At 41.2% G+C, this 24925-nt stretch overlaps 1 protein-coding gene and 1 pseudogene across 2 annotated transcripts, besides 3 other annotated features; one reads left to right on the top strand and one right to left on the bottom strand.

Moving 5' to 3' along the window:
• Window positions 1165-1754: an enhancer, noted in NCBI's record as "H3K27ac-H3K4me1 hESC enhancer chr14:39640175-39640764 (GRCh37/hg19 assembly coordinates)". NCBI's record gives its function as "activates a minimal SCP1, AML or CMV promoter by ChIP-STARR-seq in primed H9 embryonic stem cells {active_cell/tissue: H9 hESC(primed)}" and the evidence as "EXISTENCE:reporter gene assay evidence [ECO:0000049][PMID:30033119]".
• Window positions 2345-2934: an enhancer, noted in NCBI's record as "H3K27ac hESC enhancer chr14:39638995-39639584 (GRCh37/hg19 assembly coordinates)". NCBI's record gives its function as "activates a minimal SCP1, AML or CMV promoter by ChIP-STARR-seq in naive H9 embryonic stem cells {active_cell/tissue: H9 hESC(naive)}" and the evidence as "EXISTENCE:reporter gene assay evidence [ECO:0000049][PMID:30033119]".
• Window positions 2392-24911, top strand: TRAPPC6B (trafficking protein particle complex subunit 6B). 2 transcript variants are annotated; one of them, NM_001079537.2, is made up of 6 exons: window positions 2392-2710; window positions 13175-13242; window positions 14323-14440; window positions 18431-18514; window positions 20886-20979; window positions 22344-24911. In NM_001079537.2, exons 1-6 carry the CDS (start codon window positions 2630-2632, stop codon window positions 22373-22375), a joined length of 477 nt encoding a protein of 158 aa, NP_001073005.1. In that variant the 5' UTR covers window positions 2392-2629; the 3' UTR covers window positions 22376-24911. The 2 variants fall into 2 exon arrangements, with proteins under 2 accessions (NP_001073005.1, NP_803235.1); NM_177452.4 differs by lacking the exon at window positions 18431-18514.
• Window positions 2536-2585: an enhancer, noted in NCBI's record as "active region_8286". NCBI's record gives its function as "activates an Ori minimal core promoter by ATAC-STARR-seq in GM12878 lymphoblastoid cells {active_cell/tissue: GM12878}" and the evidence as "EXISTENCE:reporter gene assay evidence [ECO:0000049][PMID:35858748]".
• On the bottom strand, window positions 14809-15603 carry RPL7AP2 (ribosomal protein L7a pseudogene 2; annotated as a pseudogene).
• Window positions 24912-24925: the final 14 nt, after the last annotated feature.

Here is a 24925-nt window from a genome sequence, read left to right as displayed (position 1 = left end):
TGTCAGCTGCTTGGAAGGCTGAGGCAGAATTGCTTGAGCCCGGGAGGTGGAGGTTGCATGCAGTGAGCCAAGATCATGCCACTGCACTCTGGCCTGGGCAACAGTGAGACTCTGTCTCAAACAAAACAAAACACACACAGCTGGGCACAGTGGCTCAAGTCTGTAATCCCAGCACTTTGGGAGGCCGAGGCAGGCGGATCACCTGAGGTCACGAGTTCGAGATCAGCCTGACCAACATGGAGAAACCCCGTCTCTACTAAAAATACAAAATGAGCTGGGCTTGGTGGTGCATGCCTGTAATCCCACCTACTCGGGAAGCTGAGGCAGGAGAATCACTTGAACCCGGGAGGCGGGGTTGCAGTGAGCTGAGATAGTGCCATTGCACTCCAGCCTGGGCAACAAGAGCAAAACTCTGTCTCAAAACACACACACACACACACCACACTCACTGTCCTTGCTTCCATAGGATCTATTCCTAGGAGCCTTGGCAATTTAACTTTATGGAGAAGGATAAGTAGGATGCTGTGTTCAATAGTTAGTAGGTCCTCATTAAATAAGTTTCCTTTCTATCCAGAAACGTACTTTAAAAGCCTCATGTTATTGTGGTTGGAGAAGTCAACTTTGATAAATTGGCCATTTACTTACTTTTTGACTTGTGTGGTGGACTTGGACTCCTTTTTCTTGATGGTAGTGATGAGGGCAAGAATGTCATCTAGACATAAAGGACCTGATTTCGCATAACTGAAAATTTAGTGCTGGAAAAATTAAGATTACCATGGCAAAATACTCTTCAAAATTACACAATTTAGTGTTTTCAAAGGCTTAAGTGGAGCTTTTATGCTGGATTTACGTGATGAATGGAATAAACTGATTCAAACATTAGAAGGGACATGCTTAAAAAAAAAACCTACCACAATTAAAATTTTGGAACATGATCTTAAATTCCTGTGAAAGGGCATGAAGAGTTTGTGTGTGTGTTTCGTTTTTTGAGACGAAGTCTTGCTCTGTCGCCCAGGCTGGAGTGCAGTGGCACAATTTCTGCTCGCTGCAACCTCTGCCTCCCAGGTTCAAGTGATTCTCCTGCCTCAGCCCCCCGAGTAGCTGGGATTACAGGCACCTGTCACCACGCCCGGCTAATTTTTGTATTTTTAGTGGAGACGGGTTTTCACCATGTTGGCCAGGCTGCTCTCAAAACTCATGACCTCGTGATCCCCCCCACCCCCCGTGCCTCGGCCTCCCAAAGTGCTGGATTTTACAGGCATGAGCCACCTTGCGGTATGTTAATTTGGGGGAAAACAACAGGGACAATTGGGGAAAAATTTTGTTTTGTGAATTACCAATGGAAGAACTAATCACAGGCTAAGCAACATGCTTACGGTTGAATTTGCCAAATTTAAGATGTACATACTATGATGTAGCATGTGTATTTATTTGCACATGCAGTGGGACAATTCCTACAGTTGTCTCACACTGCTGTAGATTATTAGCAACTCCATCCTGCAGTGACATCGCTTTTCTGAATTCTATAGCACTTTTCACCTAATCCTCTGATTAGTCTGTATTTTCCGGTTCAAGTGTATCTTGTTTTTCGTTTGCTCCACTTCCCTTGTCCCTTGCACCCCACTAACAGGAAAATTCCTGGTGGTCAAAATGGCTCTAATTCTTTTTGTATACCCGGGCTTAATTCAATAGGAATTGGGATAACTTTTCAATATTTAAAAAATTTGCACTGTGAAAACGTATATTTTAAACTCTTTCTACAACTTTTCATATTTGAAGAACATATGGCAGGAAGTGGATGCTTTTGATGAAGCCAAAAGAATTTTTTTAACTTCTATTGCTAATTAACAAGGAGGTGGCCGCGGGAGCTCTTTTTTTTTTTTTTTTTTTGAGACGGAGTTTCACTCTTGTTGCCCAGGCTGGAGTGCAGTGGCGCGATCTCAGCTCACCGCAACCTCCGCCTCCCGAGTTCAAGCGATTCTCCTGCCTCAGACTCCCGAGTAGCTGGGATTACAGGCATGCACCACCAGGCCCCGCTAATTTTGTACTTATAGTAGAGACGGGGTTTCTCAGGCTGGTTCGAACTTCCGACCTCATGTGATCCACCCGCCTCCGCCACCCAAAGTGCTGGGATTACAGGCGTGAGCCACCGCGCCCGGGCCAGGCGGGAGCTTTAGGTCTTATTTTATCTTGCTCTGCCCCCGACATCGTGGTGAGAGGGGAACCTTCCTCATATCTGGGCGCTGGCCTCTCCGGGCTTGGGAGAGAGGAACTCAGTGATCATAGAGCTGGCCGAATGCCGGGGTAGAGGGGACCGGAAGTTGTTTTTTTCGCCCCCGCCCAGCGGCCGGATCGCATCTCAGCTGGTTGGCTTTGGTTAGAGCTCCCGTCAGACTTTAGTTCGGCCCTAGGATTTGGTAGCCCCGAAGTGTGGGCTCTCTCCAGTACCAGACTCATTTCAGTACCAGCCTTTGGGAAGTCGTGTGAATACCTCGGTCTCTTAGCCACAGGGATAGAATGGCGGCCTGACGGAGCCGCGGCGCCGGCGAAGTCGCTGAGGCGCGAGCTGGAACCCCCAGACCAGCTCAAACGGGAGCCAAAACTCGAAGCTTGGAAGAATTAGCAGGAAATGGCGGATGAGGCGTTGTTTTTGCTTCTCCATAACGAGATGGTGTCTGGAGTGTACAAGTCCGCGGAGCAGGGGGAGGTGGTGAGTGCTGCCACACAACCTTGAGGTCCTTTTGCGGTGACACACCTTGTTTCCCCTCAGTGCTTTCCTTCAACCCCTGTCCCATCGCCACCCGACGCCTCCCGAGGTGTACACAAAATGGTCCACCTCCAGGTGTCCTAAACCCTAGAACCTGTCAGTTGTCTCCTTTGAACCGTCATCTTTCATCGTTTTCTCTTTCGTATCTTCTTCTATTTGATTCTCTTTTGTCTATTCCCGTACGTTTGTCTTGCACGCCACAGATTTTGGTACTTTTAGTGTTGTCCCTGCCATTATTTACGAGAGGGTTAACTGCAGAGCCTACTTAGTTTTGCTGGCACTTCCAGCACTTGAGCCATGCACTGGACAGACCTGTGCCAACCTGAGAAGCCTGTCCCTCCTTCCTCATTCCTAATGCTCAGTACAACTCCACACAACTTGAGACCTGAAGCCTAATGAAGGTTGAGTTTGCAAAGGAAAGTTTGCAGGCGTTAGGATAATTAGGGAACATAATTTAAATTAATTATTTCAGAAAGTATTTATTTAGTGCCCTTATGTCAGAGCGATTTCTAGGTGCCAGGGATATAGTAGTGAATGAAACAATGGCCCCATCCTTGTAGAGATTTTTTTTTAATCTAATTTAATCCGAAATGTGATAGTATGTAGCGGTTACTTCTAATATGTGGGAGTCCTTATTCAATCATTGTGGGCCTGTCACTGCTGACACTGCTAGATAAATTAAATAAAATAATACTCCTGCCTCACAGTATTTAGGGAATAGTGATTTAATGAATAGTTAACACTGAGTATTGGCTGGTAGAATCATGGAGTTGTAACGGATTTTAGAAATACTCCAAAGTCATGCTCAAGTCAGGAGCCCTTTCTTTAATGCTATTGATAAAAAATGAGTGGAGAGTGGGGATAGGAAATGTATCCTAGGCAAAGATAAAGTGGTAGAGGTATGAAAGAGTGGTGGATTTAAATACACTTAAGCATTTCTTTGGACTAGACTGAATAGAGAGTGAGAAGAATTGAGAGGTGAAGTTAGAAAGCTTTGTGTAATTAAAGAATTCGGATCTTTTCGAGGGAATATTTTTAAGGAAGGGAATGATGTGGACCATTTGCATTTTAGAAAAGTAATCCAGTGTTTGGGCTAGAGAGGGAAGATCCTTGTAGGGGGAAAATCCTTTATTACGGGAGTCACTGCAGGAGGAGATGAAGATCTGGATTAAGACAGGGATAGTGAGAAAAGGAGATAACAGATTTGAAAGTTAGAAAGTGGAATTCTGTAGGCCTTGTTTAAGGATGGGAGTGGGAGTTGAAAATTATCGTCAGGTTTTCAGCTTGAGCAGCTGGGTTGGATGGTGGTACTATTAATCAGAAAAGGAAATAAAGGAGAAGAAAAAAATAAGGAGGTAAGATAATGAGTTATTTCGGGGCAGGTTGAACTTTTGAGGTGCCTGTATGACATCCAAAAAAAGGTACTGCCAGTTTGCACAAGAAGGATAGGCAGGATACATTTGGAAGGTTATTGGAAATGAAGCGAATTCTATTCTTATTCAAATGACCCATCTATAATAGAGATTTTTTTCAAGTCACAAACTTCTGACTTTATTATTGACCTCAAGGTTTACTGTTTGTGCAAAGCTAGCCTTCCTTTTCCCTCTAGAACAGTTAACACACCCCTTTTACTTTTTTGTCATAACCCCCGATCCCCCCAAACCACTTGCGTATTCAGTTCTCTTCATTCTCCCCTCCCTTCTTACCTTTCCTCTTCTCTCTCTCTCTTTTTTTTTTTTTTTAGATGGAGTTTTGTTCTTGTCTCCCAGGCTGGAGTGCAGTGGTGTGATCTCAGCTCACTGCAGCCTCCGCCTCTTGGGTTCAAGCGATTCTCCTGCTTCAGCCTCCTGAGTATCTGGAATTACAGGTGCCGGCCACCATGCCTGACTAATTTTTTTGTATTTTTAGTAGAGACGGAGTTTCACCCTGTTGACCAGGCTGTTCTTGAACTTCTGACCTCAGGTGATCTGCCCGCCTTGGCCTCCCAAAGTGCTGGGATTACAAGCGTAAGCCACTGCGCCTGGCCCTTTTCTGACTCTTGTCTAGAATAATATTTTTTCTTCTTTTTAAAATATCTTTTTTTTTTCCCGTGGGTTAATCCTAAATAAAATGAACAGAGCTGTTCTACTCAGGCCTGATAATTTTAAGAGATGGACTAACATACAAGAGAAAGGAAGTTCATAGTTTTGAATCATTTAAGCTAAAAATAACTTTCTTTTTCTACTGCAGTGTATTTATGATGGGGGGGAAAATTGAAAGTACATAATAAGCAAAAATTATATAAATAACAGTTATGTGGTAGTCTTCATAATCAGAACCCATACTGAAATACGGGTATATAAGGGTTCACATTAGTGTCCATACTTTGAGTGTGCTTGAAATTTTTCATCATGAAAAATGTAAAAGATACATAATCCTGTCATCCAGAGGTGATTTTTAGAGATTTTTTTCAGACATAAAAAGATCTGTAAAAACTATGTTGTTTATGTCTGAAAAGACCTATAAAATCCATTTCTCGCTGACAGGATTATGTGTCTTTTTTTTTGTTTTTGTTATGGAAAGTTTTTTTAAATGAAATAAAGTTTTATAAATTTTCAGTATAGCAAAATAAACTTCCATAAGACTTGAGGTGAGATAAAAGAAAGAAACAGTGTTCTAACCCTCCAAATCAAGGTTTTTCAAACTATGCTTAAAGAGGAATTCTCTTAAAATGGACTAATTGGGCATTTCTCAATTTATGGTGAATGGATTTTGAAAGGCTAATGGATAAAATGTTCTCAAGTTGAATTTTTCTTAAAAATTTGGTGCCTACTCAAAAGTGCATGAACAAGTAGCAAAATTAAGTAGTAGGGCTTAATTCAAAAGCTCATGTGATCATAGGATTTGAAAGTGTCTGCATATAAGCATATTGTAACTGCCCAGTGGGTTCTTCTTCCCCACTGCCCAGGTAGAGCTGATCTATCAAGACAGGAGAATTGCAATAAGGAGTTTATGTAGAGCTGCTAAATGGGAGAGCAGAGTTTTATTATTGCTCAAATCAGCCTCCCCAAACATGCAGAGTCTAGGGTTTATCAAGGATAGTTTGGTAGGCTGGGGGCTGGGGAATGGGTGCTCCTGGTTGGTTGGGGATGCAGTTACAGAGGTGGGGGCCAGAGGACCAGTTGGAGTCATCCGAAATGCAAAAGTCTGAAAAGACATCTCAAAAGGCCTTTTTTAGGTTCTACAATAGTGATATTATTTACAGGAGTAATTGGGGAAGTTACAAATCTGTGACTTCCAGAATAATGTCTGATTATCATTTAACTACCTACATTTTAGCAGAATTCAGACCCCTCTCATAAGCCTAACCTTATAGTCTTTCATTAGTTTTGCAAAGGTGATTTAGTTTCGGGAAGGGCTATTATCATTCTTGCTTTAAGCTTACACTATAAACTAAATTTCTCCCAAAGTTAGCTTGGGCTGCATCCAGAAATGACCAAGGGCAGCTTGGAGGTTAAAGGCAAGATGGAGTTGATTAGGTGAGATCTCTTTTACAGTCATGATTTTCTTACTGTTACAATCTTTGCAAAGGTGGTTTCAATAGTTCCTGCTAATAAATATGTTCCTAGGTGATTCTACAGAGAGCAGATTATTCCAAAAAGAGCATCATGATTTACAGACACTTATTCTAGCTGAACTTGTTTTTTTGTTTTTTTTTTTTTTAAGAGACAAGTCTCTGGGTTAGTGTGGTGGCTCACACCTGTAAATCCCAGCACTTTGGAAGGCTGAGGTGGGAGAATTACTTGAGCCCAGGAGTTGGAGACCAACCTGGGCAACATAGTGAAACAGTGTCTCTATTTAAATAAAAAAAAAAAGAGGCTGGACACGGTGGCTCAGGCCTGTAATCCTAGCACTTTGGGAGGCCAAGGCAGGCAGGTCACAAGGACAGGAGTTCCAGGCCAGCCTGGCCAACATGGTGAAACTCCGTCTCTACTAAAAATACAAAAAATAGCTGGGTGTGGTGGTGCACGCATGTAGTCCCAGCTACTCGGGAGGCTGAGGCAGAAGAATCACTTGAACCCAGGAGGCGGAGGTTGCATTGAGCCGAGATTGTGTCACTGCACTCCAACCTGGGTGACAGAGCAAGACTCAGTCTCAAAAAAAAACAGAGAGAGAGAGAGAGAGACAATGTCTTGCTCTGTCATGCAGGCTGAAATGCAGTGTTGGGACTTTGGCTCACTGCAGCCTTGACCTCCTGGGCTTAAGTGATCCTCCCACATCAGCCTCTCGAATAGCTAGGGCTATGGGCATGCTACCATGTCCAGCTAATTAAAAAAATTTTTTTTTGTAGAAACAGAGTCTTGCTATGTTGCTCAGGCTGGTCTCAGACTCCTAGTCTCAAGTGACCCTCCTGCCTCAGCCTCCTACGGTGCTGGGATTATAGGCATGAGCACTGCGCCTGGCCTCATCCTAAGCATGTTTGAGAAGTGTGGAGAATAGCAGAAAAACTGAAGATAGTGATACGTACAGTAATAGATGTATGTACAGAATTTTACGACAGCATAGGGCCTAAGGAAGTTTCAGGGAAGCCATCTGGGAGAATGTAATACTTGAGCAGAATTTAAAGAATGTGAATGCCAGGCGCGGTGGCTCACGCTTGTAACCCAGCACTTTGGGAGGCCGAGGCGGGCGGATCACAAGGTCAGGAGATCGAGACCGTCCTGGCTAACATGGTGAAACCCCATCTCTACTAAAAATACAAAAAATTAGCCGGGCGTGGTGGCGGTCGCCTGTAGTCCCAGCTACTCAGGAGGCTGAGGCAGGAGAATGGCGTGAACCTGGGAGGCAGAGCTTGCAGTGAGCCGAGATCACGCCACTACACTCCAGCCTGGGCAACTGAGCGAGACTCCGTCTCAAAAAAAAAAAAAAAAGAATGTGAAGTCTAGGGAATAGCACATAAAAAGGCAGGGAGACAGAAGAGAACATGGCACTCTGGAGTTGCTGCAGAAATTTCAGAGTGGTAAAAGGGAAGGATGTTTGTGAATTTGGTTAACTAGCCAGGAGTCTTTAAGGAAAGGACATACCATGATGCCATGCTAAGGAGTTTGGACTTTATTTTTTGTTTGTTTGTTGGTTTGTTTTGAGACAGGATCTCACTCTGTTGCCCGGTCTAGAGTGCAGTGGCTAGATATTGGCTCACTGAAACCTCTGCCTCCTGCACTCAAGCCATCCTCCTACCTCAGCCTCCCAAGTAGCTGGGACTATAGGTGCATGCCACCATGTTCACCTAATTTTTGTAATTTTTTTAAAGATGAGGTTTCACTATGTTGCCCAGGCTGCCCTCGAACTCCTAAGCTCAAGCAATCCTTGGCCTCCCAATGTACTGGGATTTACAGGCATGAGTCACTACATCAGGCCTGGACTTTATTTTGAAGAAAGGGGAGCAGGTGCTGAAATTCCAGTAGAGAATAACATGATTTTTTTTTTAGACAGAGTTTCACTGTTATTGCCCAGGCTGGAATGCAATGGGGTGACCTTGGCTCACTGCAACCTCCGCCTCCTGGGTTCAAGCAATTCTCCTGCCTCAGCCTCCCGAGTAGCTGGGATTACAGGCATGCGCCACCATGCCCAGCTAATGTTTTATGTTTTTAGTAGAGATGGGGTTTTTCCGTGTCGGTAAAGCTGGTCTCGAACTCCTGACCTCAGGTAATCCGCCTGCCTCGGCCTCCCAAAATGCTAGGAGGCGTGAGCCATCATGCCCGGCCGAGAATAACATGATTTTTTTTAGAAATTTACTTTAGTAGAAGTTACACTACCAGAAATATAGAAGATGACACAAAGTAGGAAAAAATGAGACAAGACCAGTTGGAAAGCTATAGCTAAAAACCAGGAGAGAAATGATAAGGCTTTACTTAAGAAGTAAGGGTAGAGAGAGACGATGAATTTTGAAAAGCTTGTAAAAGATAGGCTCCACCGGACTACAGTGTATGGGGGGTTGGGAGCACAGGGGTGAAGAAAATGGAAGTTTTCTGGTTGGAGTAACTAGGTGAATGGTGGTGCCATTAATGAAGTTAGGAAATTTTGGAGGCAGAGCAGGCTGAAGACATTAATAAAATGAATATCATTTGAATATGCATACTTCGAAGGTCCTGTGGGACCACTAGATGTCTATGCCCAATAAAGTCTGTACTAGAAACGCAGATTTAATAGTCACAGCACCATAAGCAGAGTGCATGGTTCCTTAGAAGAAAGTTTAGCAAATAATAAGCCCTATGGTTTCCTTAGTGGGAGACAAACAGCCTTCAGAATATACAAAAATCCCTGCCTTTTTGGAGCTTTATTTTAGCAGAGAGGGGAACAAGGGGCACATGGGCAATATAAAATAGTAAAATGTATGGTATATTAAATGGTGAAAGAAGTTCTGTGGAGACAGATTAAGCAAGGAAGTGGGACTGAGTATCAAAATCAATTTTTAGAAGGTTTGTTAAAGCTGATTAGCGGCCCCATACCCAGAGTTTCTGATTAAGTAAATTGGGAGTGGGACTAGAGAATTTGCAAGTTCCCATGTGATGCTGATGTTGCTGGTCTTTTTTTTTTTTTTTTTTCTGGTGATGAAGTCTCGCCCTGTCACCCAGACTGGAGTGCAGTGGCATGATCTCGGCTCGCTGCAATCTCTGCCTCCTGGGTTCAAGCGTTTCTCCTGCCTCAGCCTCTTGAGTAGCTGGGACTACAGGTATGTGCCACCATGCCCGGCTAATTTTTTGTATTTTTAGTAGAGATGAGGTTTCACTGTGTTAGCCAGGATGATCTCGATCTCCTGACTTCGTGATCCGCCCACCTCAGCCTTCCAAATGCTGGGATTACAGATGTGAGCCACCACACCCAGCCAACACATTTTTAAAATCACTAGGATAGAGAGTTGCCAAAGGGGTATGATGTTGCACTTTTAAAGAAGATGGTTAAAATGGGCCTAAGATGGTGACATGAGAGTAGACTCAAAGGAAGTGAGGGAGTTGGTTGTGTGACTATCTGGAGGAAGAGTTGATGCAAAAGCCCCTGGAATGTGCCTGGCATGTTTAAGGGACGGGGCAGAGTGCATCTGCAGAAGGTTGAAGCCAGAGAGGTATGGGGTCTGGATTGTAGAGGACAGTCCATCAGTCATCCATAGGATTTGGATGTGTTCAGCATAGAGGTACTATTTCAAGCCTTAAGATTGAATGAGATTGTCAAAGAAAGAGCAAAGCAATCTCATGATTTAAGGCAAAGTGTGATAATCAGCTAAGACACTGAGAACTGGGAAGCCTGGATGATTCTGAGACATTTTGAAGCAAGGAACAATAGAACTTAGAGCAGAAAGCAAATGACTCAGGGAAAAACATCAAAGGTGATACCAGGTTTTATAACCTAGGAGAGAAGAATGATTGAAATTGGGATAAAAGGGAGACGAGGAGTAATTAGGAAGAGGATTTGATTTCTGAAAATCAATTATAAGCAGTAGTTCCCTGTTTATCCTGTTGCCTTGTGCCAGGTGCAGTGGCTCACACCTGTAGTCCCACAGCTTTGGGAGGCCAAGCCAGGAGGATATCTTGAGGTCAGGACTTTGAGACCAGCCTGGGTAACAGAGTGAGATCCCATCTCTTAAAAAAAAAAAAAATAGCCAGGCATGGTGATGTGCCTGTAGTCCTAGCTACTTGGGAGACTGAGGTGGGAGGATTGCTTGAACCCAGGAATTTAAAGCTTCAATGAACCATGATCTCGCCAGTGCACTGCAGCCTGGGCGACAGAGCAAGACTTGTCAAATAAATAAGTAAATAGCAGTTTGGTCTTTTGTTGGAGGAACGTCTATTCTTAGCTTGGACACTGCGGTTTTTCCTTGGGCAGCAGAAGCAATGTGGCGATTGAAGAAGTGACCTAAAACTTTGATGTTAGGTAGAAGCAGATGGCCCAAGCCAAGACAAGTGCTTGTAAATCCACTGGTGGGAGCCCCTCCTCCTAACAGCAGGTTATTAACGCTGCCAGAAAAAAAGTGTCCCCTCTACCGGTCTGGTGAAGAAACCTCATCGCTACGGGCCTGGGACTGTGGCACTTCTAGAGATTCTCGTTACCAGAAATTGACCTAGCTTCTCATCTGGAAGCTGCCTTTCTAGAGGTTGGTGAGAGAGATCACCCAGGATTTCAAAACCAACTTTAGGTTTCAGAGCACAGTCATTGGGGTGCTGCAGGAGGCTAGTGAAGTGTACCTGGAGGCTAGTGAAGTGTACCTGGTGGGTTGGTTTGAAGATGCTAATTTGTGTGCCATCTACGGTAAGAGAGTTGGCTCTCATGCCCAAAGACATCCAGTTGGCTCGCCAGACACGGAGTGAGCGAGCTTAAGTGAAGGCAGATTTTAAGGCATTTTATATGAATTCTGTAAAATACTTTGGTTTAATTTGTGACTTTTTGGGGAGAAATTATTTATAATATGTTGCATTTGTGCTTAAGTCATTCCGTCTTTTGGGATGAATGTGAAAAGTGACTGTTCATAGACCTCAGTGACGTAAGCACTGTTGCTCAGGAGTGACAAGTTGCTAATACGCAGAAGGGATGGGTGACATTTTTTCATTCTCATGACGCATGTTTCTGTAAGTTAATGACTTGTTAGGTAGCTATTAAGGAACTAGAGTTGATAAATAAATGTGTATAGGTTCCTTTTGCAATATAACTGGTTATTACTTGATCCAAGTGTTTAACATTTGGAGCTAAGTCTGACCATACATTACTGTGATAGAATGTGGGCCTTTTCAAGGGTGAAGATACAAGCCTTAACCACAGTATAACTTGCAGTTTCCTTAAACAAACAAAGAAATAAAAACCTAGCATGGAGTACATTATGTGCATTTATAATAGCTATTTTAAATATTGTAGTGTCAACATTCAAAAATTAATTCTTTTACATTCGCAAATGGTGGGGAGTCTTGTCATTAAGGTGTGTATAACTTAGAATCCACTTGGTTTTCTCCTAACTGGACTGCATTTGTTTTCATAGTAGTAAAATGTTATGTGTATTACACCTTGCATAAGTCCTCATTCTACTACGTGTTAACTAACCCTCTAGATGATAATGCAGATGCTAACTGTGGGATTTTATTTATAAGAACTCTAGAATAAATACCAGTTATTCCTACCAACATCGGCTGTTACTAATATTCTGAAGTAGTTAGTGCAACTTTTCATTGTGTTGTGGTTGGTCTCCTAAGTAGGTTGGATTTTTCTCCTCTTCTAAGAGAAAACAATAGTGAAATTATTTTCTTTCTCTTTTCTCTCTGTTTCTGTCTCTTTCTCTCTCTCTTTCTCCCTTCCCTTCCCTTCCCTCCCCTCCCCTCCCCTCTTCTTTTCTTTTCTTTCTCTTCTCTTCTCTTTTCTTTCTTTCATGGGGTCCCTTGCTCAACCTGTTGCCCAGGCTGGAGTGCAATGACATGATCATGGCTCAGTGCAGCCTCAACTTCCTGGACTCAAGCAATCCACCTGCATCAGCCTCCAAAATGGCACATGCTACCATGCCCAGCTATTTTATTTTTACTTTTAGTACAGATGTGGTCTTGCTATGTTGCCCAGGCTGGTCTTGAGCCATTGAGCTCAAGTGATCCTCCTGCTTTGGCCTCCTAAAGTGCTGGGATTACAGGCATGAGCCACCGTGTCTTGAGGGGTTTGTTTCTATTAAAAGACTTGGTGTCAGGGAGGAGCACAAAGCTTTAACCCATTGAACCTCTGACAGTTAAGATGGTGTTGGGTTAGGTTACATCTGGTTACTATCCTGGGAAAATCACTTCTATAGAGATGGCCTTCCAAGTGGTTTTAAAATGTATCTTTCTGTCTGGGCGCGGTGGCTCACGCCTGTAATCCCTGCACTTTGGGAGGCCAAGGCAGGTGGATTGCTTGAGGTCAGGAGTTTGAGACCAGCATGGCCAACATTTTGTATTTTTGTATTTTCTCTACTAAAAATACAAAAATTAACCAGGCATGGTGGTGGGTGCTTATAATTCCAGCTACTTAGGAACCTGAGGCAGGAGAATCACTTGAACCCTGTAGATGGAGGTTGCAGTGAGCCGAGATGGCCCCACTGTACTGCAGCCTGGATGACAGAGCGAGACTCCATCTCAAAATAAATTAAAAAAATGTATCCTTCTATTGAAGTTTTTAGGTTAATCATGTATATGTTGACTAAATTATGAATTAACTTGTTTATCAAAAAAAAAGTAAAAAGTAAAGTAAGTAAAAGTAAAGTAAAATAAATAAAATCAACCTTATAATTCACTTTTTCTTAAACTGTTTCAGGGAAAAAAGTATAAATGTTTACATTAATATTTTTAACCAATCTTGTAAAACAATTTCTGAATACTAACATCCTAGCATTCTAAAAGTATTTAAAACTATTGTTTTTTAAAATAGGAAAACGGACGATGTATTACTAAGCTGGAAAACATGGGGTTTCGAGTGGGACAAGGATTGATAGAAAGGTGAGCAGGTTGGATTTGAAAATTTTCTTGCAGGTAGGTTATAAACAAAGGTGATCTATTTCAAAAGATTGCATAAAACTTGGGATATTTTAATTTTAATTCCTGAATGTTATTCTCTTTACTTCAAAAATTAAAATTTCTTTTTAGATCCAATGCCATTTAACTCATTTATTCAAATTTTATTTTAATGTTTAAAGAAAATATATATTTTATATATTTTAGACTTTCTTCCTGAAGCTATTTTAGACTTTATTCCTGAAGCTATTGAAGCAACTATCTAAAATCTTACTGCATTTTCAACTTAAGATCTGCTAGGTTCTTTAACCTGCATAGAATTTTTAAGTACATAGGTTTGAAATAACTATAGTCTATGTTTATGCGTGTAATTATCTTTGAACTTATAAATCAGTTCTTTTTAGTATTTCTTTCTCACTACCTGAATAGTTAAACTCGGAGTATATTTTATATAACAATGTCATGATAATGCTCAGCTCTTTGTTCTTTTGTGGTTTTTTGATGTGCTAGAATGCATTGCACCTGAAATTTTGGCTATAATGTTAGACTAATTTGAGGCCTCATAATTTATATAACATAATGTGAATCCATTGAGATAGGATCATGTTACCTGGTGCTTATGACTTTATTAGTGTTAATAAATGTTCAGCCAGGTGTGGTGGCTCATGCCTGTAATCCCAGCACTTTGTGAGGCCAAGGTGGGAGAATCTCTTGAGCTCAGGAGTTTGAGACCAGCCAGGGTAACAAAGTGGAACCCTGTCTCTACAAAGATATACAGATTAGCTGAGCATGGTGACATGTGCCTGTGGTCTCAGCTGCTAGGGAGGCTGAGGTGGGAGGATAGCTTGAGCCTGGGAGGGAGGTAGACGTTGCAATGAGCCGAGATTATGCTATTGCACTCTAACCTGGGCGACAGAGCCAGAATCTGTCTCAAAAAAAAAATTAAAATTAAAAAACCCAATAAATGTTCAGTGCTGTTCTGGCATTTGGAAATTAGTTAATAATTAGTCCCTCTTGCTTTTTTTGGAGGAGAAATACTGTATTACTTCTAGTTGATCTTTTTAGGTTTACAAAAGATACTGCAAGGTTCAAGGATGAGTTAGATATCATGAAGTTCATTTGTAAAGATTTTTGGACTACGGTATTCAAGAAACAAATCGACAATCTAAGGACAAATCATCAGGTAATTAAATTAATTAAGGCCTATATTTTAAAGTCCTTTAACTTGATATAAATATCGTATTTTAGTGACTTATTTAAAACCTAAAATAATTTCTGGTTAACTTTGGAATATGTTTATGTTATTAATGAGTTATTAGTTTTTTTCTTCTAATAGTGTGAACTGAGTAAAGACAAAGGGACAGTTATCAGTAATGATAGCTGTTCCTTTCACCCAATTATATGCTATGTTAAGTTTTTTAAAGTAGCATAAGTCAGGATGAGAATAGCTTTTACTATTTGGTTCCTTAGTTACTGTTAATTAGTGGTAATAATATGCAGAACCACAAATATATCACCTTTATGTCTTTAGAGTCATTTCTTTTTTTTGAAGAAGAAGAATTTGGATTATTTTAATTATTTTTATATACAGAAAACTCAACAGTGTATGTTTAACCCAGTTTGGTGTCAAGTTCTTTAGCCTTTGCCTTTTCCTGCTTGACAATTCAAGCCACAGACTTGAGACCCAGGACATTGCCTCCCCAGTGACAGTGGATTTCGTTTTGTCTGTCGTAATTGGTTCTGATAGCTTCCACCAGCTGAACCTAAGCTCCATTGTCCTCTGAGTTAATCTGTGTAAAGGCGACAGTGGTGCGGGTCTTCTTGTGGATTAGACATCCCAGTCTTGCCTTCCCCTTGATAATGCGGTAAGGGACCCCCATTTTATGACACAAGGCAGGCAGGAAGACAGCCACCTCGATGGGATCCACATAGTGTGCAGTCACCACCAGCTGAGCCTTCTTGTTCTCCTCCAAGGTGGAGATGGTGTTAACTCCTGCTCGGAGGACAAGTGGTCTCTTAGTGGGGACATCCCCTTTGCCTGCAGCTTTCTTTTCAGCCCGGGCCAATAGCCTCTGCTTATTTTCTTGCTTTGTCTTTGGTCTGTACTTGTGGGCCAGCTTAAGCAGCTAAGTAGCTATTTGGCGGTGCAGGGCCTGGGTGAACTGGTTAATTGTAGGAGGCACTTTCAGCTGCTTACAGAGGATGGCTTTGTGCCACTGCAACCTGATATAGCGGGGCCATTTCACAAAGTGAGTGAGGTCCATATTGGGTGGATGTCCTGTCCAATGCCAGAATTCTTAGGCCTTTTCTCAAACAGGGGATTCACCACTTTCTTTCTTTCTTTTTTTTTTTTTTTTTTTTGAGATGGAGTCTTGCTGTGTTGCCCAGGCTAGAGTGCAATGGTGCGATCTCGGCTCACCACAACCTCCGCCTCCTGGGTTCAAGCCATTCTGCCTCAGGCTCCCAGGTAGCTGGGACTACAGGCATGTGCCACCACTCCGGCTAATTTTTGTATTTTTAGTAGAGGTGGGGTTTCACCATGCTGGCCAGGCTGGTCTCGAACTCCTGACCTCAAGTGATCCGCTTGTCTCGGCCTCCCAATGTGCTGGGAGTACAGACGTGAGCCACCACGCCCAACCAGGATTCACCACTTTCTTGGCCTCCTGTTTCTTCATGACACCAAGGGCCAGAGCCACCTCCTTCCTCTTGGCCTTTCCTTTTGGCATCTTGGGTGGCAGGAAGAGATTCTTTATAGTCATTTCTAAAGTCTAATTTATAGAGCATTTTACTCTTAAATAACTCCTGGATTATTACTGCTGTCATATTTTCTACTCTTAAAAGATTTTCTTACTACAAAATTAATAGATTACATAGAAAACTATGTATTTATTAAAATTTTAAAAGGGAGACAGAGTCTCGCTTTGTTGCCCAGACTAGTCTTGAGCTCCTGGACTCAAGTAATTCTTTGGCCTCAGCCTCTTGCATAGCTGGGATTATAGGCATGCACCACCACTCCCAGCTTCATTAGATTTTATTTTATGAACTTCAAGGAAATACTTAGAGTAGATTTGGAATTTTGATTAAGTAAAAAATTAAATGTATCTGGTACTCTCAATAGGATAATTCATTTATTTATTTATTTTTAATTAGAGACAGTGTCTCACTATGTTTTCCAGACTGGTCTCAAACTCTTGGGCTCAATGGATCCTCCCGCCTTGGCCTCCCAGAGTTCTGGGATTACAGGTGTGAGCCACTGTGCCTGGCCTGGAATTCATTTTGTACCAACTTTAGCTTGGAATTACTGGAAATGCTAATAGGAAGAAATGACTATGATTTTTTTACTCTCTAGACATGATTTACTAATATATATCAGCTGGCTGGACATGGTGGCTCATGCTTAGAATTGCAGCATTTTGGGAGGCTGAGGCAGAAGGATTGCTTGAGCTCAGGAGTTGGAGACCAGCCTGAGCAACATACTTAGAACCTATTTCTACAAAAAACTTGAAAAAAATTTCACCAGGCATATTGGTATGTGCCTGAGGTTTCAGCTACATGGGAGGAGTTCAAGGATACAGTGAAATACTACACTTTTGCCTGGATAACAGCAAAATTCTGTCTCTTAAAAAAATAAAGCTGGGCGCGGTGGCTCACCCCTGTAATCCCAGCACTTTGGGAGGCCGAGGTGGGCAGATCACCTGAGGTCAGGAGTTCGAGACCAGCCTGGCCAACGTGGTGAAACCCTGTCTCTACTAAAAATACAAAAATTAGCCAGGCATATTGGCGCACGCTTATAGTCCCAGCCACTCAGGAGGCTGAGGAAGGAGAATTGCTTGAACCCGGGAGGCAGAGGTTGCAGTGAGCCTAGATCACACCACTGCACTCCAGCCTGGGCGACAGAGCAAGACTCTGTCTCAAATAAACAAATAAATCCGGGTGCGGTGGCTCACGCCTATAATCCCAGCACTTCAGGAGGCCAAGGCGGGTGGATCACCTGAGGTTGGGAGTTCAAGACCAGCCCTGCCAACATGGAGAAACCCCGTCTCTACTAAAAATACAAAATTAGCTGGGCGTAGTGGCGCATGCCTGTAATCCCAGCTACTTGGGAGGCTGAGGCAGGAGAATCACTTGAACCCAGGAGGCGGAGGTTGTGGTGAGCTGAGATCGAGCCATTGCACTCCAGCCTGGGCAACAAGAGTGAAACTCTGTCTCAAAAAAATAAATAAATAAAAATAAAAATTAGGTCGGGTGTGGTGATCATACATGTAATTTCAGCACTTTGGGAGGCTGAGGCAGGAGGATTACTTGAGCCCTGGAGTTCCAGACCAGCCTAGGCAACATAGGGAGACCCCCTTTCTACAAAAAATTAATAAAACTAGCCGGGTGTGGTGGCATGTGTCTGTGGTCCCAGCTACTCGGAAGGCTGAGGCAAGAGAATTGCTAAACACCCAGGTGTTTGAGGGTGCAGTGAGCTGTGATTGCACCACCACACTCCAGCCTAGACAACAGAGTGAGAGCTCATGTCTAAATAAATAACTATACAAACAAACAGCTTATTTCATGTGGACATGTATTAATGATTCCATCGTACTAGACTATGAGTTTTTAAGGATAGGGACTATGTCTCAGACAGTGTTTTTATCTTCAGTGTATAAAACCGTTCGGTATACATTAGTGTTGTGAAAATACTGAACTCGCAACTCTTCAGCTTGAACATTGCAAAACTCCTTCATTTAAACAAAATTTGACCAGGCTGGGCACGTGGGCTTATGCCTGTAATCCCAGCACTTCGGGAGGTCAAGGTGGGCAGATTGCTTGAGCCCAGGAGTTTGAGACCAGCCTGGGCAACATGGCGAAACCCCATCTGTACAAGAAATATAAAAATTAGCAGGGCATGGTGATGCACGCCTGTAGTCCCAGCTACTTGGGAGCCTGCGGTGGGAGGATTGATTGAGTCTGGGAGTTGGAGGCTGCAGTGAGGCGTAATTGTGCCACTGCATTCTACCCTGGGCGACAGAGGAGACCCCGTCTCAAAGAACAGAAAAAGAAAACTTGGCCAATGGGAAGGAGACTTTTAATAACTTTAAAAAACACTTAAATTGTTTCATAAGAATAAAATAATTTTAAGGACTGCTAGGTACATTGACTTTGGATTTTTTTTCTATTTTTGGAACAGGGCATCTATGTACTTCAGGACAACAAATTTCGCCTGCTTACTCAGATGTCTGCAGGAAAACAGTATTTAGAACATGCATCTAAGGTATTTAATGGAATAGAAGTTGGGGTTTTTGTTAATAGTAGGACTACAGGGAAAAGTACAGTGCTAATCATAACAAACTATTGAATTAAAAATATGTTTTAAGGTGTTCTTTTTTGTTTAAAGAGTTTTCTATGAAATGAGAGACATGTTACAATAACACTAAACTGTAGCTAAATAGTCATAGAGTGACCAATTAAAGAAACACTGGCCGGGCGCTATGGCTCACGCCTGTAATCCCAGCACTTTGGGAGGCCAAGGCAGGTGGATTACCTGAGGTCAAGAGTTCAAGACCAGCTTGGCCAGCATGGGGAAACCCTTTCTCTACTAAAAATATGAAAAATAGCTGGACGTTCTGGCGAGCGCCTGCAATCCCAGCTATTCGGGAGGCTGAGGCAGGAGAATCACTTGAACCCGGGAGGCAGAAGTTGCAGTGAGCTGAGATCGTGCTATCATTGCACTCCAGCCTGGGGTATAAGAGCAAAACTCCATCTCAAAAAAAAAAAAAAAGAAAAAAAAGAAACACTATAACTAAATGACAGTGAAATGTAGATGTATGGTAGATCACTTTTTTTTTTTTTTTAAGACAAGGTCTTGCTCTGTCATCTAGGCTGGAGTGTAGTGGTACAATCATGGCCTATCTTGACCTTGACCCCCCCGGGCTCAAGTGATCCTCCCACTTCAGTCACCCAAGGAGGTAGGACTGCAGGTGTGGGCCACCATGCCTGGCTAATTTTTAAAAAAATTTTTTAGAGATGGGATCCCACGATGTTGCCCAGGCTCGTCTTGAACTCCTGGGCTCAAGTGATCACCTCACCTCGGCCTCCCAGTGTGTTGGGATTACAGGTGTGAGCCACTGCATCCGGCCTGATTGCCTATTTTCTATATTTTTGGGGTATCCAGGCTCTAATTACATTTTTATGGTTAATGTGTATATTTTCTCTCTTTTTTTTTTTTTTCGGACAGAGTGTGAGACTCACTGCAACCTCTGCCTCCTGGGTTCAAGTGATTCTCCTGCCTCAGCCTCCTGAGTAGCTGGGATTACAGGTGTGCGCCACCATGCCTGGCTAATTTTTTGTATCTTTAGTAGAGACAGGGTTTCACCATGTTGGCGAGGCTAGTCTCAAACTCCTGACCTCGTGATCCACCCACCTCAGCCTCCCAAAGTGCTCGGATTACAGACGTGATTACAAAAGCCACCCAAAATGCTGGGATTACAGCCTCCCAAAGTGCTGGGATTACAGACGTGATTACAAAAGCCACCCAAAATGCTGGGATTACAGCCTCCCAAAGTGCTGGGATTATAGGCCATGCCTGGCATATTTTCTCTTTTTTACTAACTTCTTAGTTTAATATTTCTGGTTCTCACTTAACTTTTTGGGATCTTGGTTTCTTCAGCTGTGAAAAGAGTAAGTTGGACCAATTCAGTGATTTCTAACTATTTTGAGTTATGGACATCTTTGAGAACTGGAACACCTTTCCCCATAAATACGCACATATACATGGTTTTTATTTTCATAGGGGTCACAAATTCCCCGATTAAGAACTCTTGGGATGAACAATCTCTAAGGCCTCTTCCAGCTTAAAATTTCATGACTCAGATCTAGTTACTTATTAGTGCCCATTTATGTATATTATTTATAAGATAATATTTTATATTATTCGTAGATAATGTAGTATGTTGAACATCATGCAGTATAGATGTGGGTAATCAAAAATTCCCTGAATTGCTAATTTTTCAATCCAGTTCTTGTCATGACTTTTGGTTTTGTAGCTCAGCCCTATTCCCTTTCTTTGTTTCTATATGACAGGGTTTCTCAACGTCCAAACTGTTGATACTTTCAACCAGATAATTCTTTGTTGTGGCAAGCTATAAGTCTTGAACAAGTCAAGATTCTTGGTTGTAAATAGGGGAAAGAAATTCTGCTTGTAAGCTAACAAAATTGATAAGCTCAAAGAATAGGCAATAACCAGGGGAGGTTAAGGCAGCCAGTAAGATAGCCAAGTCACTCTGCAGACTGTATCTACTTAGAATCCTGCAGGCAGCAGGGACTGTAGACACAAACTACCTTTACTGCCTCCAGAACTAATTCTGATCAGTTTCTGGCTTGTTTTTGTCACTGAGTCTAGATTCACAGTCCTGGACTGGAGTACTTAATTGGCTGAGCTTAAGTCTTAAGTCCTACGTCCATGCTTTAGTTTCCAGGGAGCTGGGAAATATATCAATATTTTTCAGTAATTTGAACAGTTCTTCAAAATCCTTTTTTTAAACAGGAATGACTTACTGATGATAAATCATGTAATGTTGTATTTATCAATAGCTTTACTATTTTAGTAAATCCTTACTATTTTTAATGATTTTTTTTCCTTTTAGTATTTAGCATTTACGTGTGGCTTAATCAGAGGTGGCTTATCAAACTTGGGAATAAAAAGTATTGTAACAGCTGAAGTGTCTTCAATGCCTGCTTGTAAGTTGAATTCGCCTTTCTTACAAATGTTTTAGTAATTTGTTTTCAGGTCTGTTTTTTTTTTTAATTTAACTGAGAGGAAATTTAAAATGCTGAAACTTTCATTTTAGTTTTATCAATGTAACACTTTAGTGTAGTAATATGTAGCATACTACATTCATTTTCAGTAATTTTTGAATAATGGACTAAAATCCAAATTTATAAGACAATTTAAGGGATGATTTTTAACTTTTCTAAAGTTATTCAAACTGTAACTTTTTTAAAGATATTCTTCTGAATATCTCCTGCAGTGTTTTAAGATAGCAAATTTCCCTAGAACATTGAAAATGCTATTTTTTTTTTTTTTTTTTTTTTTTGAGACGGAGTCTCGCTCTGTTGCCCAGGCTGGAGTGCAGTGGCACAATCTCGGCTCACTGCAAGCTCCACCTCCCGGGTTCACGCCATTCTCCTGCCTCAACCTCCCGAGTAGCTGGGACTACAGTTGCCTGCCACCACGCCCAGCTAATTTTTTGTATTTTTAGTAGAGATGGGTTTCACCGTGTTAGCCAGGATGGTCTCCATCTCCTGACCTTGTGATCCGTCTGCCTCGGCCTCCCAAAGTGCTGGGATTACAGGCATGAACCACCGCGCCCGGCCCGAAAATGCTATTTTTAAACAATTGTTTAGGATATGTCTATTATATCAAGCTAAGTAAAACCAAATATTCTTTTATCACTAAATGTCTCCCTAAAGATCTTTTCACCAGAGCTACCAACCAAGAAAAAATGGACTTGAGCTTTATTGTATTTCTTTTCAATTTACAATGATCATTAGCCATGAAATACTGTACCCAAATGTAGGATTCATAAAGAGAAACAAAAGTGCTTACTCAACAAACCATATAATCATCCCATAAAAATAGAATTGACTGGCCGGGTGTGGTGCCTCACACCTGTAAGCTCAGCACTTTGGGAGGCCGAGGTGGGCGTATCATGAGGTCAGGAGTTTGAGACCAGCCTGGCCAATAAGGTGAAACCCTGTCTCTACTAAAAATACAAAAATTAGCTGGGCGTGGTGACAGACGCCTGTAGTCCCAGCTACTCAGGAGGCTGAGGCAGGAGAATCACTTGAACCCAGGAGGTGGAGGTTGCAGTGAGCAGAGATCGTGCCACTGCACTCCAGCCTGGGCAACAGAGCAAGACTCCATCTCAAAAAAAAAGAAAAAATAGAATTGACTTTATTGAATATTATGAAGAATGCGAAAAAGTTTTTGACATAGCAGATTTCTTGACTGAAACTATTTCCTATATGGAACAGAAAATTGATGTTTAGACTTGTTTTCTTTGTATCTAAAATCAAAGAATTATTTGTATTTTTTTTTTTAGGCAAATTTCAGGTGATGATACAGAAGCTGTAGAACATACTGAAATGCAAGGCTTCAACAGTGTAAAGAGATAAATTATTCATGTAAAAGTATTTCAAGTAGTGATGATTTAATTACATTGTTCGATGTTTGTACAGGAGTAAGCATGTATTTTTATCAATTTAACACAGATCAAAGGAGATGAAGGGACATTCTGCCATGACATACACTTAACCAAAACTATTCAAAATGAAAACCGGATTTCAAATAACCAGACACCAAGATGCAGGGCCCTTATTTTAAACCTTTTTATTTGGTTAGAGTGATATGTATTTAGCCATAGATGGAGAAACAAAGCTCAGGGTTTGTTGAATTAGCATGAGAGAAAATTATGTACCAACAGAATTATTTGTGAGAAGAATGAACAAATTTTGATAAAGTATGAATTTGTTTTATTTTAAAAAGCAAACATACTAAATTTTTTTTATTTTATTGCTTATAATTTATTAAGAATGTTTACACCTGTATAAGGATTTCATATATACATTGTATGTGTGTATATATAAATACATATATGACTGCCTAAATTGTTTATAAATTTAATTTTTCTTTAATAGGTTTCATTCCTTCAGAGCTCCATTAATGTAATCAAAATGAAATATAGATTAGTTTAAATGTGAATTCAGTGACTCTAGGGCCAAAGAATATTAGGTATGTTTGGAAAGAATTTTTGTATTTATTCCTGTTACAGTTTTGACTTTCAACTTCTCTCCCCGTGCATGGAAGTCCTGGTAAAGGATCTAACATCTTTATTCCCTTCTTTCCTCTTCCAGCTGAGCAGAGTTGGATAATTGAATTAGTCATTCTGACATTCTTTGGACCATATCATCTTAGTGGTTTGGGGTCAGTGCTCATCTGATATATCTTTCTTACCACCTCTTCTACTTACTTTCTCTTACTTAAATTATCTGGCATAAGCAGTTATCTCCAGCTTTTGTTAGAATCTTGCATGTTGATTACTAAAACTATACTTTGTTTCCCATTTATTTATTACCCTTTTGCATGTATTTGTGTGACAGGGAACTCTGCAGCAGGGGGTGACTGACACACCAAACAAGATGTTTCACTGGGTACTCTGCCATAGAAATGGCAGATTAAGAAGATTGACTATACCAAACATTATATTAAAAACACAAAATAAAAACTATAAAAATGTACTTTAGGACATTAAAGAAAACTCAAGTTAGAAGCATACCATTTTCCTTTCATGGAAGGGTACAGTATTACAAAGATAATTTGTTTAACTTGATTTATTAAATTCTAGTTATGTGCCCTATAATGATGTTTCAGTCAGTGACAGACCTCATATATGGCAGTGGTTCCATAAGATTACAATACTGTATTTTTACTGTACCTTCTTTATGTTTAGATATGCAAGTACTTACCATTGTGTTACAGTGTCCTACAGTATTCACTACAATAATATGCTGTACAGGTTTGTAGCCTAGGAGCAATAGGCCATAGCTTAGGTGTATAGTAGATCATACCATCTAGGTTTGTGTAAGTACACTCTGTGATTGTACAATTTTAAAATCTCCTAATGATGATGCATTTCTCAGAATGTATCCCCTTTGCTAAGCAATGCATGACTGCAATCCTAATTCTCACATGTTTTGGGGAAAAAATTTTAATTTTGAAAAAATTTAGGAAAGTTCCTACCAAATATACATGTATAAAGTTTATTAAAAGTCATAATGACCCAGGAATAGCTAATGACACAGAAGTAGATCAAAATAGAACACAATAGAGAACTTCAAAATAAAACAGGTGTGAGAATTGTGTGTGTGAAAAAGCTGGGTTCAAATAAGTTGGTTTGTTAGACATTCATATGCCTACCCATCAGCCATTTCGTTCTCCCTTCCTTGCTGACAAAGCCCCATTTTTTTTTTCTTTTTTTTTGGCCTAAAACTCTGTATGGCTGCCTTGTGCTATAGAATAGGGTGCTTCCCTAGCCTAGAGAGGGTGAGTGTTGATTAGATTCTGTGCCAATCATGGTAATTGGCTTACTTGATCATTTGATGGAATCTAGGCTAACGAGACAAAGGAAGTCTGAAGGCTTTGAATAAGAAATTTTCTGTTGCTCTTAACAATTGATACAAGTTAGGGATTTGCCAGCATCCCTCTTCTGCTTCTCAGTGAAGATATGTGATATGGATGTTTGAAGCTAATCTGCAACAGCCTTCTGATGGCCATGAAAGGACAAGTATGGAGATGAAAGCTATCACACTGAGAATAGTGGGATGTAGATAGAAAGCACCTGAATTGTGCTTCTGAATTAACCAATCCAGGAACTGCTTTACCTTTGGACTTTTTGTTATGTGAGATATTCTTTATATTGTTCCATTTGCTTTGGGTATATGTATATTGTTACTTGTAGCCAAAAAGAAACCTCTCTTAGTAGAAACAAAGGGAGAGTTAGGTTATTCAAAAATTAGTATGGGACAATTGAATATGCCTTTTTCTGCGGGAGTAGGTGGGGAGAAACTTAAAGGTTCACTTGTAAAACAATAAAGTACTAAAGAAAATGTGATAATACTTTCGTGA

The sequence above is a fragment of the Homo sapiens genome, chromosome 14 (assembly GCF_000001405.40).
Source record: "Homo sapiens chromosome 14, GRCh38.p14 Primary Assembly".
Taxonomy (NCBI): Eukaryota; Metazoa; Chordata; class Mammalia; order Primates; family Hominidae; genus Homo; species Homo sapiens.
This window is presented reverse-complemented; position numbering and strand designations above follow the sequence as displayed.

Bases quoted from the DNA above. Each gene is read 5' to 3' on its own strand.
- TRAPPC6B (NM_001079537.2), top strand. From the start codon at position 2,630: ATGGCGGATGAGGCGTTGTTTTTGCTTCTCCATAACGAGATGGTGTCT. The intron at 2,711-13,174 runs GTGAGTGCTGCC...TTTTTAAAATAG, and splicing joins CCGCGGAGCAGGGGGAGGTG to GAAAACGGACGATGTATTAC. The intron at 14,441-18,430 runs GTAATTAAATTA...TTTTTGGAACAG, and splicing joins ATCTAAGGACAAATCATCAG to GGCATCTATGTACTTCAGGA.